This window comes from Homo sapiens, chromosome 7, assembly GCF_000001405.40.
Source record: "Homo sapiens chromosome 7, GRCh38.p14 Primary Assembly".
Classification (NCBI taxonomy): Eukaryota; Metazoa; Chordata; class Mammalia; order Primates; family Hominidae; genus Homo; species Homo sapiens.
In genome coordinates this window covers 67,999,921-68,017,329 of record NC_000007.14, presented here as the reverse complement: position 1 = coordinate 68,017,329, position 17,409 = coordinate 67,999,921, and the positions used below count along the sequence as shown (strand labels likewise).

Genomic DNA, 17,409 nt, shown 5'->3' with positions numbered 1-17,409 from the left:
TACTCAGGAGGCTGAGGCAGGAGAATGACGTGAACCCGGGAGGCAGAGCTTGCAGTGAGCCGAGATTGCACCACCGCACTCCAGCCTGGGCAACAGAGAGAGACTCCGTCTCAAAAAAAAAAAAGTACATGTGTTTGCCTCTTAATGAGTGGCATCTGTATTTAGAGTTGGACTCACTCTCTCTTCCCTATTGCAGCATTCTCCAATAAAGTCATTCTTGTCTGTTTAAGTCTGTCTGATACAACTTTCCTTTGACACAATCCAGGGTTTTCAGCACCATAGTGGTCAGAATATTGCGTCTTCAATGTCATTTAAGGTCCTTCAACACTTTGCCAGCACAATAAAGTGCCTGGCTTTAGAGGGCACTGGTGGTTCTGGCCTTAGATTCAGTATGTCATCACAGCACACAGCCCAGGAGGCCGGCAGACAGGGGTCTGATGCCCTCCTCTTTCTGTTACTGCCTATGTGATTTCGAAGGGGTTACTTCTCTGAGTTTCTATTTTCTCACCTGTAAAATAGGGACAGTGATACCTCTGTGGGGCTTTTATGAGGATAACATGAATTAGTGTTTGTAAACAGCTTAGAACAATGTCTTAGACATATCAGAGCTCTATGTTTAATTAGTCATTTCTTAGCACTGTTTATCTCCAAAAGTTGGGTGGGAGATTGGCGCAGATTTTAACTCCTTTGTGTTGTTTGTTGTTCTATTGAGTATGTATCACTTTATAATTAGCAGGGAAAGAAGGACAGAAGGAGGGAGGGAGAGAGGGAGGGAGGGAAAAATGAAGAAAGGAAGGAAAAAATGGAAGGAAGTAAGGAATGAAGGAAGGAAGGATGAATGGGAGGGAAGAGGGAGAGGAAGAAAGAGGAAAGGAAGGATGGAGGGAGAAAGGGAGGGAGAGAGGGAGGAAGGGGAATAGGAAGGAAGGAAAGAAGGAAGGAAGGAGAAAGGAAGGATGGATGGAGGGAGGGAAGAGGGAGAGAAAGAAGGACGAAAGGAAAGATGGAGGGAGGAAGGGAGGAAGAGAGAGAGGAAGGGGAATAGGAAGAAAGGAAGGAAAAAAGGAAGGAAGGGAGGGAGGGAAAGGAAGGAAAGGAAAGGAAGGGAAGGAAGACGATCTAAACCTCAGTCCTTGTACAGATGTCCTAAGCTTCTCTCCAGAAACACATCACTTACCACTTGCCCTTTTGACCACAGAGGAAGTTAGTTCTATCTGAATGGATGTTCCAGTCCTTAAATGAATTTGGTTAGTGGCTGAGTGATGGGCCATGGTCTTACTGCCTCATAAATCAAGGCCAGGGAATAATTTTAACAGTGCATAAACAGGAAATATGAAAATTAATGCTTGCAGGAACCTTATTTAATTTTACTGTGAACCGATTTCCGTGACATTTATGCTGTTTGTTTTGTGCAGTTGTGTGTGGGTTTTTCTCTCCCCCTTCTTTTTATTTTGTTTTCTGTTTTCTTTTTCCTATTGGCTCAGTTTCAGAGAGGCTAGTTATCTGCACATTCATCTCTGAAATGACCTTCCTTTCTTGAAATGCATGTCCTTCTGCTTGTAACAAAAGGTCATAAACTCGCCGGGCCCATCAAAGCCATTACTATGGCAATACACTACAGGATTGCGATTATTAACCTCTGGATAAACAGGCAGGCAGGGAAGATGGATGGAGAGGAATAAGGCTTGTGTTTATACACATTTATCTTTGGTAATTAGCCATCTGGGGGAAAACCACAAATACAGGCAACAGAAATTGATTTATCTTCAAATAATAAGTTTTGCTTTACAACAAGGTCTAAAAGTGCATCTTCTCAAGTGCTAATTTTGCATGTCACTTGCATGCTTTAAGGATGAAAGTAGTAATTACCAGGCCTTTCATATGCAAAAGTAAGGTGCTAAGAAGCTGCTAGCTTCATCTACAAGAATTAAAATTTAAAAAAAAAAAAAAAAAAAGATGCATTTCCCAGAGGACTTCCCAGGTCCTAAAAGGCTTGTCATTACAGGTCTGTATCTTCCTGGAGGTCCAGGGCCATTCATAAGAAATCAGCTGCAGACAAGTGTGGTGTGAAGTGGGGAGTCACTGACCCCATGAAGCAGGTGTGGTCTGAATTGGAAAGTCACTGATCCCATGGAGGATCCTGTGGTCTTGGACTTGACCCTTCTCCACTGATGCTAAGGGTCAAGGCCAGGAAAGGAAGCACCTAGACACTTGGTGTGGCACAGCCACATCAAAACCAAGGCGCAGTGGCTCATGCCTGTAATCGCAGCACTTTGGGAGGCTGAGGTGGGTGGATCACTTGAGGTCGGCAGTTCAAGACCAGCCTGACCAACATGGAGAAACCCCATCTCTACTAAAAATATAAAATTAGTCGGGCATGGTGGTGCATGACTGTAATCCCAGCTACTCGGGAGGCTGAGGCAGGAGAATCACTTGAACCCAGGAGGCGGAGTTGCAGTGAGCCAAGATCGCGCCATTGCACTCCAGCCTGGGCAACAAGAGTGAAACTCCATCTCAAAAAAAAAAAAAAAAAAAAAAAAAAACAAAGGGCAGGGCTCTTAATAACCAACATGGGGATAGTGGGATAAAGAGGCTGTGTGTCTCATTTCCAACACTGGCTCGATACCTAAGGGGTTAGTAGCTACATTTGCTTGTTGGCCAAAGGCCTTTCTGTTCCAGGAGGAATCAGCCCAAACTAAGAGGGAATTGCCTGGGTAATTCCACTTCCCCTTTATAGTTAAGCTTCAGGGAAGCGCCTGCTTTTAGTGAGCTGTGGTTCAAAACCATCCATCCAGGCTAGCACATGGCACCCTCGAATTTATTCAAAGACAAAGGAAAACAGAGTGAGACACTCTGGAGAGGCCCCGTCGACATCCATCTGCTGCAGCTGAGCTTTCTCCCATTAAACGCTTCTCATAAATAGCACCGGATCCTGTGGTCTGTTGCCAAATGTTTTTTGAACTGTTTTTATTAATAACAGATTGGAATTAGTTGCTGTCTGAAATATGCCCTGCGTGTTTCCACCTGTGAACCCTTTAGGCAGAGGGCGGAGCTGCCCAAGACCTAACACCTGGCCGCTAGCTAAATGTGATGCAAGACCTAATTTTAAACCTTCCACCCCTTGGAGGCCTTCAGTGACCACAGTGGAGCTGCCCCAGGTGGTAGCACAGCCAATGGGTGAGGGGGATGAGTGCTACACCTGTGTGCCAGGTGCAAATCCCATCACTGCCACGTATTGGGAGTATGACCTTGAGCAAGTTAATTAGCCATTCAGATCCTTATTCTGCTCATGTAAAATGGAGATGTTAACAATCCCTATACCGGCCGGCTGCGGTGGCTCACGCCTGGGATCCCAGCACTTTGGGAGGCTGAGGCAGGCGGATCACAAGGTCAGGAGATCGAGACCATCCTGGCTAACACTGTGAAACCCTGTCTCTACTAAAAATACAAAAAATTAGCCGGGCATGGGTGCGGGCGCCTGCAGTCCCAGCTACTCGGGAGGCTGAGGCAGGAGAATGGCGTGAACCCGGGAGGCGGAGCTTGCAGTGCGCCGAGATCGCACCACTGCACTCCAGCCTGGGCGACAGAGCGAGACTCCCTCTCAAAAAAAAAAAAAAAAAAAATTCCTATCCCATAGGGCTATTGTAGGCAGTGCAGCCAGATTATGAATAGGGGTGCTCTATTGGGTCCCAGCGCAGGCCCGCTGAGTGCTGCAAAGTACTTGCTGTGTGATCCAAAGATCGTTTTGCTGAACCTCACTTAATGAAAATAGTATGTGGCTGGGCACGGTGGCTCACGCCTGTAATCTCAGCACTTTGGGAGGCCAAGGCGGACGAATCATTTGAGGTCAGGGGTTCGAGACCAGCCTGGCCAACATGGTGAAACCCTGCCTCTACTAAAAATTCAAAAAAAATTAGCCAGATGTGGTGGTACATGCCTGTAATCCCAGCTACTGGGAGTCTGAGGCAGGAGAATCTCTTGAACCCAGCAAGCAGAGGTTGCAGTGAGCTGAGATGGCACTACTGCACTCCAGCCTGGGCAACAGAGCGAGACTCCATCTCAAAAAAAAAGGAAAGGAAAAAAGAAAATAATAGTATGATATTAATAAGACATACACAAAATACTTACCTAAGCTCTCAGCCAGTGCCTTTCACACATGAGGCAATAAATACATGACAGCTTTCTAAATCATTCGATTGCCCTCTCTGCATATGAATATGTGGATGTGTTCTCACTATAGCTAGACTCATACCTCCCCATCTATAAATGAATGCCTTCCGAAGGTCACTCCTGGCCTTATTGGCTATAATATATCTTGACTAAGATAAGCAGAATTGGTCTGAATCAGAGACTAATCGCCCCCTTCCCTGTTAGTAACACAGCCCCAGGAAAGGCTGGAAAATGTGGTCTGGCATTGGGTAGCCATGATTCCTGCTATAATCTAAAATTTCTATGACTCTCCAAGCACGAGTGGCTCATGCCTGTAATCCCAGCACTTTGGGAGGCTGAGGTGGGAGGATCGTTTGACCCCAGGAGTATGATGCCAGCCTGGGCAGCATACTGAGATGTCATGCATACTAAAAGAAAAAAAAAATTAGCTGGGTATGGCGGCAAGTCCCAGCTACTAGGGAGGCTGGGGCAGGAGGATTGCTGGAGCCTGGGAGGTTGAAGCCACAGAGAGCCATGATCACAAATCATTCTTAATCCATTCTCCCCTTCTTCTTTGAGTAATATAAGCTTTCTTTCCCTTCTTTTGTTGAGACACAGTCTCACTCTGTTGCCCAGGCTGGAGTACAGTGGTGTAATCATGGCTCACTGTGGCTTTGACCTCCCAGGCTCCAGCAGTCCTCCTGCTTCAGCCTCCCTAGAGCTGGGACCACAGGCACTCGCCACCACACCCAGCTAATTTTTTTTTTTAGTATGCATGACATCTCACTACATTGCCCAGGCTGGTATCATACCCCTGGGCTCAAGTGATCCTCTCACCTCAGCCTTTCAAAGTGCTGAGATTACAGGCATGAGCTACCCATGCTTGGGGAGCCATAGAAATTTTAAAACATTAAATCAGCAGGAACCATGGCTGCCCAATGTCAGACCACATTTTCCAGCCTTCCCTAGGGCTGTGTTACTAAATTCTCACCAATGAAATGTGAGCAGAGGTGCTACGTCGCCACCTTAAAAAGAAACTGTTGTCCTTCACAGACTCTCGCCTTCCAGAGACTGGACCATGGTCATCTAGACTTGGCCGTTCTGATGAGAATGACATTTCAGGGGACTCTAGAGCCCAGGAGAGAAGGAACCAAAGATCCTACAACTTCCTGGAGCAGAGCTCCCCGCACACCTCCACCACCTGCTAACTCCTGTCTGTTACTTGAGAGAACAATCAATTTCTCTCTTCTTTATGTAATGGTAATTTTGGGATTCTTTGTTACAGCAGCTTGGTGCTTGTTCTGACTAATACATGAGCAAGGACATTGAGCAGAGGCAATGATCCCTATAACCCAGTGTTTTTCTTCTTCCATCTCCTTTAGTTACTCTCAGATGAAATGTTCCTCCCTTATTCACTTCGCTTTTCATCAACCAGCCATCTTCACCCTTCACTATGTGGCTTTATTACACCCATCACGCTCAGTTGATTTCACTCAAACATAGCTTTCTATTCATATACACACATTTCTGATTCTTCCTCTTCCTTTTCTTTTCCTTCCTAGCTCTGCCTGCTAAGCTTACAAATCAATTTCTCTGACTCACTTGCCATTTTTTCTTTTTCTTCCTTCTCCTACTTCACACCCACACTGACCTTCTTGTCTTTTTCTCTATTGTTTTGTTCCTTTCTTGCTTGCTTTCTTTCTCTCTTCCTTTCTTTTTTTAAATCTTAGCCACTGGAGGACCAGGTAATTTTATTTCTTTTATAAGACAAAATCAGAGCCAGTTAAAGCCAACAAGTGTAAAAAAAATCCACACACAAAACAACATCAATAACAACAACAACAAACATTGGCAGTATACCTATAACAGAAAACAGAGCGCTATCTATACTGGATTCATCAATAGTTCATGCATTGACTCAGACCTCCAGATAAGACTTTTCAAATAAGACATCAGAGGTCATAGGAATATGAGAACACCAGGTTACAAAACAGACTAGACAGGTAAGAATTGGAATTAAAAATCCAGGTTTTGTTTTTTGTTGTTGCTGGGGTGTTTGTTTGTTTGTTTGTTTGAGACAGGGTCTTGCTCTGTCTCCCAGACTGAAGTGCAGTGGTGTGATCTTAGCTCACCGCAGCCTCTACCTTCCAGACTCAAGTGATCCTCCCACCTCAGCCTCCCTAGCAGCTGGGACCATGGGTTCACACCACCATGCCCGGCTCTTTTCTTTTTTGTATTTTTGGTAGAGATGGGGTCTTGCCATGTTGCCCCAGGCTGGTCTTGAAGTCCTGAGCTCAAGCCATCCACTCGCCTCTGGGTCCCAAAGGGCTGGGATTAAGGCATGAGCCACCATAGACAGCCTAAATTCCATGTTTTTTGACTTTCTCATCAAGTTCTCTTTCCATCAGCTTATGCTGTGTCTCCATTAAGACAGTTCAAAGAAACAGAGATTGCATATTCTAATTCTGTATTCTCCGCAGTTGAGAACTGCTTCCCCTCAAGACAGAAGGGAAACAATAATTTGTTCAATATTATGGCTACAGCAGGTCTCAAAGTTAAGCTGGCTGGGGCACACATGGACCTCATTGCCATTCAGAATATCCTCCTGTCGGGCCAGGCGTGGTGGCTCATGCATGTAATCCCAGCATTTTGGGAGGCCGAGGCAGGTGGATCATGAGGTCAGGAGATTGAGACCATCCTGGCTAACATGGTGAAATCCTGTCCCTACTAAAAATACAAAAAATTAGCCGGGCATGGTGGCGGGCGGGCATCTGTAGTCCCAGCTACTTGGGAAGCTGAGGCAGGAGAATGGCATGAACCTGGGAGGCGGAGCTTGCAGTGAGTCGAGATCGTGCCACTGCACTCCAGCCTGGGTAACAGAGTGAGACTCCATCTCAAAAAAAAAAAAAAAAAAAAAGAATATCCTCCTGTCTCTTTTTCGCCCTAGCCTTGACTGTTTCCCCAACTGGGATGTAAATTCTTTGAAAGCTCCTTAGCCATCCTCAGCCTTTAGCACAGTGCTGAGAAAATAGTATGAACTCAATAAATACATACCAATTGATTTTCAATTCCTAGGGAGGATTTTCCTTGGCTTGTTTTTATTACCTCCCCACCTCCCTTGAGTTTGCCATCTCGTCCCCTGCCAAGGCCCTTCTAACTCCCATTTCCTGCTGACCACGAGGTTTAGCAAGTTTTCTTTCTTCCTGACTTGTGTATCACTTACCATCAATGCTGCGTGATGCAGCACTTAATCATACAGGGTCAGGAATCACTGGCTGTTGTTTTAAATGTGGGCAGCCAGATCTTTCAAATAGACCTTCAGCTGCTTCCTTTGGGGAACTATCTGTTCAGACATGCCCCTGAGTTGGAACGCTGACACTGTCACTCAGAATCCTTGGGTTTTCAGGCATGCACTGTCAAAGAGTGCCTACTGGTGACTGTGGCATCTTGAGTTCTTGTTATTTCAGAAAAGTTCCAGAAAGAAGACCAGCCCTGGCAAAACAAAAACCAGTTTGATCCAGAGATGCGTGAGTTGGGCATTGACCCATTTCCTTCATTACTATACCAAAAACTTCACCCAGGGAGGAGCTTAAGCACTATTTTCTCCATATGCAACATACATAGAAGTATGACCAGCCACTGCACCTGCCCTGCCTTGGCTTCACCTCTACATACAATGACTCAACCAGCCATCCCAACAAAAGCCATGTTTTCATCTTTGTTTTTTGAGACGGAGTCTCGCACTGTCTCCCGGGCTGGAGTGCAAAGGCGCGATCTTGGCTCACTGCAACCTCTGCCTCCCAGGTTCAAGCAATTCTCCTGCTTCAGCCTCCCGAGTGGCTGGGATTACAGGCGCCCACCACCATGCCCAGCTAATTTTTTGTATTTTTAGTAGAGACGGGGTTTCACTGTGTTTACCAGGCTTGTGTCAAACTCCTGACCTCGTGATCTGCCTGCCTCGGCCTCCCAACGTGTTTTCATCTTTGTTAGGGGAGGCACTGTTTTGGGAACTATTGCCAGTAACCTCCTTACTTGTTGCAAGGAGTAAAGTCCTCTTGTTAAATCCTCCTTGGTTTTGATCATTGTACCACAACCTGCAAAGCAATCAAACCCACCTACTGTGTGAGTAACATGAGTTACCACCTGCCCTTAGATGTGAGAGATACTTTTTTCCACTGCAGTAACTCTTCTCTCTTTCTTGTTTGAAGGAGAAGGAAGATGCATGCTCTCTATGCAGGGCACACTCCAAACCCAGCCAATTACAAGGGTTCTTACCCATCATCTCTGCCCCGCAGAGCTGAGCTGAGCGCGCTTAATGCTCCAAAAGTCACACGGTCTACTCCATGGGTGTCCTATTTGTAGCCAGAATTTTCCCTCCTTATATTAATGTTGCATTGCATATTCCCAAAGAATGTCTCAAAGGCATGTTTTTATAACTACAGGGATGCTGTTGATGACATTTTGAAGGGTAGCAGAGTGTGCCCCCTCAAAATATGCCAGTTTGCTATAAGGATTATTTTGAGCAGAAGGCAACTGAGAAGAAGCAGATACAGGAGTTCCCCCTTATCTACAGTTTTGCCGTCTGTGTTTTCATTTACCCATGTTCAACTGCAGCCCGAAAGTATTACAAGGAACATTTAAGAAATAAGCAATTCATACTTTTTTTTTTCTTTGAGACAGAGTCTCACTCTGTCGCCAGGCTGGAGTTCAGTGGTGTGATCTCGGCTCACTGCAACCTCTGACCCCCTGGTTCAAGGGACTCTCCTGCCTCAGCCTCCCAAGTAGCTGGGATTGCAGGCATACACCACCATGCCCAGCTAATATTTGTATTTTTAGTAGAGATGGGGTTTCACCATGTTGGCCAGGACGGTCTCGATCTCCTGACCTCATAATCTGCACGCCTCAGCCTCCCAAAGTTGACACCATTCTGAGTAGCATGATGAAATCTCACACTGACCAGCTGTGCCCCACCTGGGATGTGAATGTTTTGTCCAGCATACCTATACTGTCTATACTACTCACCTGTTAGCCACTTAGTAGCTTCGTCAGTTATCAGATCAGTTGTTGCAGTATCACAGTACTTATGTTCAAGTAACCCTTATCTTACTTAATAATGGCCCCAAATTCCATTGTCTAGATCTAATCTATAATTAAACTTGACAATAAATATGTACACATAGGAATAAACATAGTATATATAGGGTTTGGTACTATTCATGGTTTCAGGCATCCAGTGGGGGTCTTAGAACCTATCCCCCATGGATAAGGGGAGACCACTGTGAAAGAAAAGCTCTTTGCCCTCTCCCTATTTACCTAAGAGTAGGATCTAACTTTGTAAAGATATTCCCCTCCCATGGATCACCTGAGGTCAGGAGTTTGAGACCAGCCTGACCAACATGGAGAAACCCTGTCCCTACTAAAAATGCAAAAATTAGCCAGACGTGGTGGCACATGCCTGTAATCCCAGCTACTCGGGAAGCTGAGGCAGGAGAATTCGCCTGAACCCGGGAGGCAGAGGTTGCAGTGAGCCGAGATCATGCCATTGCACTCCAGGCTGAGCAACAAGAGCGAAACTCCATCTCGAAAAAAAAAAAAAAAATAGACATTCACCTCCCCACTCTACCAGGAAGGACAGAAATTAATTACTGGTAACAACTCTAGTCCTTTCTCCGCCTAGAGACAGCACCAGAGTGGATGTGACTTTGTACTTGTATCCCATTGGCTTTTTTTCTTCCTGTTCCTGTGTGTGTAAGTTATTCTGGAAGTGCTTCTTCACTTTGGCAGTGGCAGTTCTTTTCTGTAGCAATGATTGAATCCAGTTAGTAGTTTTTTCAACTTTTGCGGAACTAGCCTCATCACTTAATTTCCCTCCCACTCCTACCACCAAGATGGATAGCACCAGCACCAGCCTGTATCACCCTTTCTCAGGGGTGTGAGGTCCAGCTCCCCAGCTAATATGTTCAAATCACTTCAACCTCTTCCTTTTGTTCCCAGCCACAGAGGGTGGCAATATTTATTTATTTATTCACATTGCTATTCTCTGTAATATTCTTCTTGCCATTTTAGTTGCCTAGTTAACTCCTCATATTCCAGAGATTAAACATATCTCTGTTTAAATGACTGGTGTGGTTCTTTCTTTTGCCTGGACCCTGACTGATATACCAGAAGAGGCCAGTTTGGTAGTTGGACATGAGATTGGGGTGAAGGGGTTTCCTGCACCAAGGTTGGCATAAGCATGTGTGACAGTAAAGCTTATGTTCTTGCTGGTAGTAGACTCTGAAGCTAGCACCTGCTCTGGCCTCTGTGTCATTCACAGCAATTTCTCACCTCTCCACAAACAGCTCTACACACGGTGAAGCTGAAGCTAGGTGTTATACAGAGCCCTGCCACAGGCCAGCTCAGCCACCTAGGCAGGTGCGTCATCTTACTGGAAGTCAGCAGATCCCTCACCTAACAAGTGTTAAGACTCATCCACATTGCAGGGATGGCCTAATGACCTAGATTGCTTGCCCTCCCAGCTTTATCTCTCCATCCCAATATCTCTATCTCTTTTATGTTTCCATTTCTCTAACTTAACAAAACCATGTGAGGCAGCCAGCACCTCCTTAATCCTCCAGCCTGATATACTTCCACTAGTGCCCCTTACGGGCAGAGCTTAATAAGGAGTCCATTCTGCCGGTCACGGTGGCTCATGCCTGTAATCCCAGCACTTTGGGAGGCCAAGGTGGGTGGATCACCTGAGGTCAGGAGTTTGAGACCAGCCTGGCTAACATGCTGAAACCCCGTTTCTACTAAAAATACAAAAAATCAGCTGGGCATGGTGGCTTGTACTTGTAATCCCAGCCACTCAGGAGGCTGAGACAGGAGAATCGCTGGAACCTGGGAGGCGGAGGTTGCGGTGAGCCGAGATTGTGCCATTGCACTCCACCTTAGGCAACAAGAACAAAACTCCGTCTCAATTTATAAATAAATAAATAAATAAATAAATAAATAAATAAATAAATAAATAAGAAGCCCATTCATGGAGCATAAATGTGGTTTGCAAAGCCCTGTCCCAAGCATCACAAAGGAAAGTTTAGAAGGGAGGCTTTAGAGCTAAGAGACTGCAGCTTCCTAACTGGCATACTTTGAGGTGGGAGGTGGGGACAGTTCCCAGACCAGGTGTCCATCTTACAGAGGGGCTTCCCGAAGTTCCTTGGGATAAGAATACCAAATGCGTGGGCATATCCAACTTATAGGGAACACCAGTAACAAAAACCAGAGATGCTGAACTTTGCCAACTCAAAGAGATGAGCAGAGAATTAGAAACAAGAAGTGCTGGACCAAAGAGTGCTTGGACTTGGACAGGAGCAAAACGCAAGCTTGCAAGACTATGGCTGTGACGGGGATGGGGAGGCAGGGGCTCCCTGCACTTCATGGACAGACACGTAAGTTGACTTAAGACAGGGGATCAAAACAGACATTCTCTGCTAAGGCCTCAGATCATATCAACTCTCGACCTTAGTTTTTCCTGTCTCAAATAAACACTTTAGCCTAAAATAGGAGTACTTTTCAGCAGTAGCCTGTAACTCTGTTTCTCTGTTCTTTAACACCTGGCTTGGAAGTAACTGGCAGGTCTATATATTTCCCCGAAGTTTTCATTTTTCCCGCAAGCAGATATAAATATTAAATGAAACCTCTTTATGTATAGAGACAGAGACCAGGAGGGCTCTCTGTCAGCCATGCCTGGACATAATGTCAAAAAATGGAAAAAAATAGAAAATAGGGCTGGACACGGTGGCTTACACATGTAATCCCAGCACTTTGGGGGGCCGAGGTGGGCAGATCACCTGAGGTCAGGAGTTTGAGACCAGCCTGGCCAACATGGTGAAACCCTGTCTCTACTAAAAATACAAAAATCAGCCAGGCGTGGTGGCGCATGCCTGTAATCCCAGCTACTCGGGAGACTGAGGCAGGATAATTGCTTGAACCTGGGAGGCAGAGGTAGCAGTGAGCTGAGATTGCAACACTGCACTCCAGCCTGGGTGACAGAGCAAGACTCCACCTAAAAAAAAAAAAAAAAAGAAAGAAGAAAGTAGATTTCTTGTCATGAAAGTTGAAAGGCTCCCAGAGATTTCGGGACTTTTGAAGTAAAACTACATGATCTTCGGGGCAAGGAGGCAATCAGAGGGTATGAAAACAGGGATTCACATTGCTTTATTTAATTCAAGATCCTGTCTCTGAAAAAAAATGTAAAAATTAGCCAGACATGGTGGCTCATACCTGTAGTCCCAGCTACTGGGGAAGCTGAGGTGGGGGATCACTTGAGCCCAAGAATTGGAGACTGCAGTAAGCTAGAATTATGCCACAGTGCTCCAGCCTGGGTGAAACAGTGAGACTCTGTCTCTAATAAATAATAATAATGGTGATAATCATTATTATATTATATAATTATATAATATATAATTAATTATATATACATTTTATATATCTATATATAAGATATCTATATATAATGTTTGTTTATACATTATAAACATATATAATTATATATGTTATATATGTTGTAAAACATATTTATATATAAATATATAATATATAAATATTTTAATATATAAAATATATACATTATAAAATATATGTTATTATATATTATAAAATCTTTTTATGAAAATATAAACTATCTTTACATATAACATATAATTAACTTATAGTTCATATAATTATATATTATATATTATAATAAGTATCATATTAATTATATTACATAGTTATATAATTAATATAATAATATGTTAATAATGACACATTAATTATACATTATTATAAATATATTCTATATTATTAATTATTAAATATGATATATAATTATACGTAATATAATTATAATATATAATAAGAAAATATAATCGTTATCTTTACTTTACTAAAAAGTCAATAAACTAGCATCTCTGCAATATTTCCAATTACTAGGCAGATGAAGCCATCAAGGAAGTTTAAGGCACAACTTCTGAACTTCAGAGCATTATTTATCTAGCCCATTCACTCATTTAACAAATGTTTGCTGCACACCTGCTGTCACCTAGGAGCTGTCTGATTTCTGCACAAAGGGCTCAGTGGTCAACACGACTGGCAATGTGTCTGTCCCCCAAAGCTTGGGACTAGTGGGAACGACAGGGGAGGTACACTGCAAGTAAATACATAAGCTCATAAATTCATCACAAATGAAAAACCCATATATGTGTTCATAAGAGACAAACAGGAGTCTAAGGAAAAACCCTAGGGGAAGGAGAGGGTGGAGAGCTGCTTTCAAGAAATCAGACAGGGAAGGTCTTGCTGAGGAAGAGCTATTTAACTGGAGACCTGTCAGGTAGACCAGGGGTCCCCAGTTCTCAGGCTACAAACCAGTAATGGTCCACTCCTGTTAGGAACCAGGCCACACAGCAGCGGGCGAGACAGCGAAGCTTCATCTGCCTGTACAGCCGCTCCCCATCCCTCACATTCCCGCCTGGGCTCCACCTCCTGTCAGATTAGCAGCAGCATTAAATTCCAACAGGAGCATAAACCCTATTGTGAACTGTGCATGTGAGGGATCTAGGTTGTGTGCTCCTATAAGAATCTAATGCCTGATGATCTGTCACTGTCTCCTCTCACCCCCAGATAGGACCGTCTAGTTGCAGGAAAACAAGCTCAGGGCTCCCACTGAATCTACATAATGGTGAGCTGTAGAATTATTTCATTATATATTATTATACAATGTAATAGTAATAGTGTGATGGCGAATATTGAGTGTCAACTTGTTTGGGTTGAAGGACTCAAAGTATTGTTCCCGAACGTGTGTGTGAGGGTGTCGCCAAAGGAGATCAACATTTGCGTCAGTGGACTGGGAGAAGCAGATCCACCCTCAATCTGGGAGGGCACCATCTAATCAGCAGCCAGCACAGCCAGCATAAAAGCAGGCAGAATTATGTGGAAAGACTAGACTGGTTTAGTCTTCTGGCCTCCATCTTTCTCCCATGCTGGATGCTTCCTGCCCTCAAACGTTGGACTCCAAGTTCTTCAGCTTTAGGACTTGGACTGGCTTCCTCGCTCCTCAGCTTGCAGAGGGTCTGTTGTGGGACTTCCCCTTGTGATCGTGTGAGTCAATACTCCTTAATAAACTCCCCTTTATATATACATTTATCCTATTAGTTCTGTCCCTCTAGAGAACCCTGACTAATACAAATAGAAATAAAGTGTACAGTAAATGTAATGTACTTGAATCATCCCAAAACCATCCCCCACCCCCTCACCCTCCACCAGTCTTTGGACAAATTATGTTCCAGGGAACAGTTCTCTGGTGCCAAAAAGGTTGGAGACTGCTGAGGTAGAGGGTGGACATCCGGAAAGATTTAGGGATCCAGGCAGAGAAAAAATGCACATCCCAAGAGTCCAGAGGGTAGAGAAAGTTGTTCTGTTGGAGGGCCTAGTGGGGGCTGGTATGACTAGAGCATCAGGAGCCAGAGAAGAGAAGGAAGTAAGGTAAATGAAGCTGAAGAGATGGGCCAAGCTCAGATCACTCTGCTCTGCTTTATATGTTAAGGAGATTACTTGGCCTGCTGGGGCAGAATAGATGGCAGACGCAGGGAGATCAGGAAGGAGACTGTTCCATAAGCGATTAGAGTGGCTTAGGTTATCATGGAGATGGAGAGAAATGAAGGAATTCAAGATATATTTTGAAATAACTGAACTTGCCCATGGGCATGGCAGGGGAAGGGAGATATCAAAGTAAATTACTGAGGTTTCTTAGAGGACAATGTTGAGAAAGAAGTTGCATGTGCATAGATAAGGTGATTAGGAAGGGATTTATATAAGCATTCAAGGCAGCAAGGTAGATGCCGCAGGTAGATAATGCACAGTTTATTTGCAATTGCTTATGACTGTAGCAAATGCTATCTATTCCTAAACACCACGGTATCCAAGAATCATCTCATGGGAAATATGAGACCTGGATAGGACTTGAATGAAGAGAAAGGCTGGAAGAAATTGAGAGGAGAGAGGAAGTTATTCTAGGCATGAACAGAATATAAACAAAGGGAATGTGAGTTGAAGAAGCAGGTAATGGGAATGAGAACTGGACATGATTTCCAACATCACCTCAACTTGGAGAAACAGTTGGATGCCTCCACTTAGTATCATTCAGGTAGCATCCCTGGGGGTGGCTCACGGTTGCTCCCCGGCACTGTCCATTTGGGATGTTATGTGTGTTCTGGGCATGGTTGTCTATCCAGGGCCATGTGGGCAAGCAGAGAGGCATCCAGAGGTACAAAGAGGCATCATTCCTGCCTGACGTCTGTGAGGTGCAGGTCTTGATAGATCGTCCTACTAAGGAAAAATGAAGACAGTGAATGTAGCTTTTCCGTGTGGTCAGTAATTAGAGCACCCTTACATAAATGGGATTAGTTGGGCTCTCCTGGGCTCTCCAAGACTCAGGACAGTTGCTCCTTCCTCGGACAGAGCCTGGGCCACCTCTTGCATTGTGTCTTCTCCCCTGCAGGTGATTGTTAAGAGTCCCAGTGTTGGGTGTCTGGCTTATTCTCTATCTTCTAAGGCAGGTTTGGTAGACCAATGCTGTTTATCCCATTTTGTATGGCTCATGAGCTAAGATTTCTTCTTTTTGTAGAGACAAGGTCTGGCTCTGTTGCCCAGGCTGGAGTGCCATGGTGCAGTCATAGCTCATTGCAGCCTCAACCTCCTGAGCTCAAGAGATCCTCCCACCTCAGCCTCCCAAGAACCTGGGACTACACATAGGCATCACCACATCCAGTGAATTTTGTTTATTTTTTGTGGAGACTGAGGGGTCTCACTAAGTTGCCCAGGCTGGTCTCGAGCCCCTGGCCTCAAGTGATTCTCCCACCTCACTCAGCCTCCCAATATGCTGGGATTACAGGCATGAGCCACTGCACCTAGCCAGATTGTTGGCAGTGGTTTTTTGTAATATTTAAATTGTTGAATACATAATCAAGGGAAGACATTCCACAACACATGAAAATCACAGTTGGCCCTTGAAGTAAACTGGTTTGATTTGCACGGGTCCTCTTATACATGAATTTTTTTCGTAAAAGCTACACTGAGTGTAACTGCCTCTTCTGCCTCCCCTTCCAGCTCTTCCACCTCTTCTGCCTCTGCCACCACTGAGACAGCAAGAACAACCCCTGCCCTTCCTCCTCCTCCTCAGCCTCCTCAACATGAAGATCACGAGGATGAAGACCTTTATGATGATGCACTTCCCCTTAATAAATAGTAAACGTATTTTCTCTTCCATGTGATTTTCTTAATAACATTTTCTTTTCTCTAGCTTACTTTATTGTAAGAATACAGCATATAATACATGTAAGATACAACATATGAGTTAATTGGCAATTTATGTTATCAATAAGGCTTCCAGTCAACCGTAACCTATTAGCAGTTAAGTTCTGGGGGGAGTCAAAAGTTATACACAGATTTTTTTTTATTTTTTGATGGAGTTTTGTTCTTGTTGATCAGGCTAGAGTGCAATGGCGTGACCTCGGCTCACTGTAAACTCCACCTCCTGGGTTCAAGCGATTCTCTTGCCTCTGACTCCTAAGTAACTGGGATTATAGGCGCCCACCACCACACCCGGCTAATTTTTGTATTTTTAGTAGAGATGAGGTTTCACCACGTTGGCCAGGCTGGTCTTGAACTCTTGACCTCAGGTAATCCACCCTTCTTGGCCTCCCAAAGTGCTGGGATTACAGGCGTGAGCCACTACTCAGGTTTTTTACTGTATCAGGGGTCAGTGTCCCTAACCTCATGTTGCTCAAGGGTTAACTTCACATGAAATTCAAATTTCAGAGTCAGTAAATAAAGTTTTGTTGGAACAAGTCACATTCACTCGTGTAAGAATTATCTACAGCTGTTTTCACATTACAATGGGGTAGGTGAGTACTTGTAACAGAGACCATGGGGCCTGCAAACCCTAAAATATTTATTGCCTGGCTCTTTACAGAAAAAAATGTACCCACTCCTATTTTAAGGCAATAAATAGCCCTGATTGAATAATAAGAAGTACAGGAAATGCACAAAAATACGTCAATTGATATTTAAAATATTTTTCTTCATACATGTGAAAGGCATTGAAAACCATGCTAAGGAGTCTGGATTTGATTTTATATTCACTAAGAAACAATACAAGGTTTTGAGCTGTTCAGTGGTATCACAAAATGCTACTTAAAATGCTAATTTGGGTTTATGCACAATTAATTGAACATGGTATCAGCA

General features: G+C 44.2%; 1 annotated feature.

The window, feature by feature from the left end:
• Positions 1,319 to 2,125: an enhancer, noted in NCBI's record as "OCT4-NANOG-H3K27ac-H3K4me1 hESC enhancer chr7:67480192-67480998 (GRCh37/hg19 assembly coordinates)". NCBI's record gives its function as "activates a minimal SCP1, AML or CMV promoter by ChIP-STARR-seq in naive H9 embryonic stem cells {active_cell/tissue: H9 hESC(naive)}" and the evidence as "EXISTENCE:reporter gene assay evidence [ECO:0000049][PMID:30033119]".